Below are 1,417 nucleotides of genomic sequence, written 5' to 3' on the forward strand. Positions count from 1 at the left end.
AGCAGCCGCCCTTCATGATCACACATCCGAGGTCTCTCTTGAGACTCTTGCAGATCTTGTGGTCTGTGTGTTGTCCTCTTACAATAGTCCCCCCCTCCTACTGCAATAGTCTTGTCAAATAAAATCTGTGTTTCTAGGTCTTAATGTTTTTATTTGACTGGGATCGGTGAGAAAGTGCTGAGAGGTGCACTAGATGTGAACCTGGAGGACAATGGGGTCTGGTTCCAGCAGGTAAGCAGAATTTTTTTTTTTTGAGATGGAATCTCACTCACTCTGTCACCCAGGCTGGAGTGCAGTGGCACAATCTCGGCTCACTGCAACCTCCACCTCTTGGGTTCAAGCAATTCTCCTGCCTCAGCCTCCCGAGTAGCTGGAACTACAGGCGTGTGCCACCACACCCAGCTAATTTTTGTATTTTTAGTAGAGACAGGGTTTCACCATGTTGGCCAGGCTGGTCTCGAACTCCTGACCTCAGGTGATCCATCTGCCTCAGCCTCCCAGAGTGCTGGGATTACAGGTATGAGCCACTGTGCCCAGCCAGAAAATAATTTCTTTAGTCCCATTTTACAGGTAAGAGGATGAAGATATAAGAAGGCTAAAGGACTTGCTGGCTATCACCAGCACCAGTGGCAGTGCTGGGAATCTAGGTGCTATCTCTGATCTTGTAAAAAGTGTTCTTTGCAGCAGAAACATGCCCAGCCCTGCTAAATGTTTGTGGATGGTGAAAAAACATTCTCCAATGTTCTAGGAAAAGGAAATGGATCCAAGAATGAAAGAAAGTAAATGGAATATCCCGAGCTTCAGAGAGCCTTTTCCAGCCTGTGGAAATGAACAAGGACCACCCAAATGAGAACAAACAAAGTCTGTTTATTCAGAATCTGCCCTAGCGAGGGAGTCAGCCATCATCATTTGCATCTGGTAGAGACACAAAGGCAGGTAGAGGAATGGGAATGCTTTATAGTAGGTGGGAATAAAAAGACTTCAGGCTATTGGTGTGGGGAAGCTGTGGGCAGCTAAGCAGCATCCTATGTAGTGGCTTAGGGTTGCATATTTGCTTTATCTTGTTGGTCCTAAACTGGAGGTCAATGCAAAAATTAGGAAAGCTGTCAGTTATTAATCAAGTTATGGCTGTTTTGTGCAGATTACTACAGGAGTTATTATTTGGCCTCCTACATTAGTTGACTTCCAGGATTGGTTACTATTGCCAGTAGGTTGGCTTCAAGGGCTGCTTGCAGCAGGTTTGGAGCAGGTTCTCAGTTCGAGTTCTACTTTTATTTATAGTGTGGCCACTGTCTGTTTGTATATTCAGTCTCTTGACTCTTTACAGGGATCCTGCATTTAGAAATGCCTTTCAGACTTCATACTCAGCCCCAGGACTGGTGGTGAGAGGCTTTCCACTTCCTGTATGCAGTGTCTG

General features: G+C 45.7%; 1 annotated feature.

Moving 5' to 3' along the window:
• Window positions 414-961: an enhancer, noted in NCBI's record as "H3K27ac-H3K4me1 hESC enhancer chr10:61521925-61522472 (GRCh37/hg19 assembly coordinates)". NCBI's record gives its function as "activates a minimal SCP1, AML or CMV promoter by ChIP-STARR-seq in naive H9 embryonic stem cells {active_cell/tissue: H9 hESC(naive)}" and the evidence as "EXISTENCE:reporter gene assay evidence [ECO:0000049][PMID:30033119]".

The sequence above is a fragment of the Homo sapiens genome, chromosome 10 (assembly GCF_000001405.40).
Source record: "Homo sapiens chromosome 10, GRCh38.p14 Primary Assembly".
In the NCBI taxonomy this organism is placed as follows: Eukaryota; Metazoa; Chordata; class Mammalia; order Primates; family Hominidae; genus Homo; species Homo sapiens.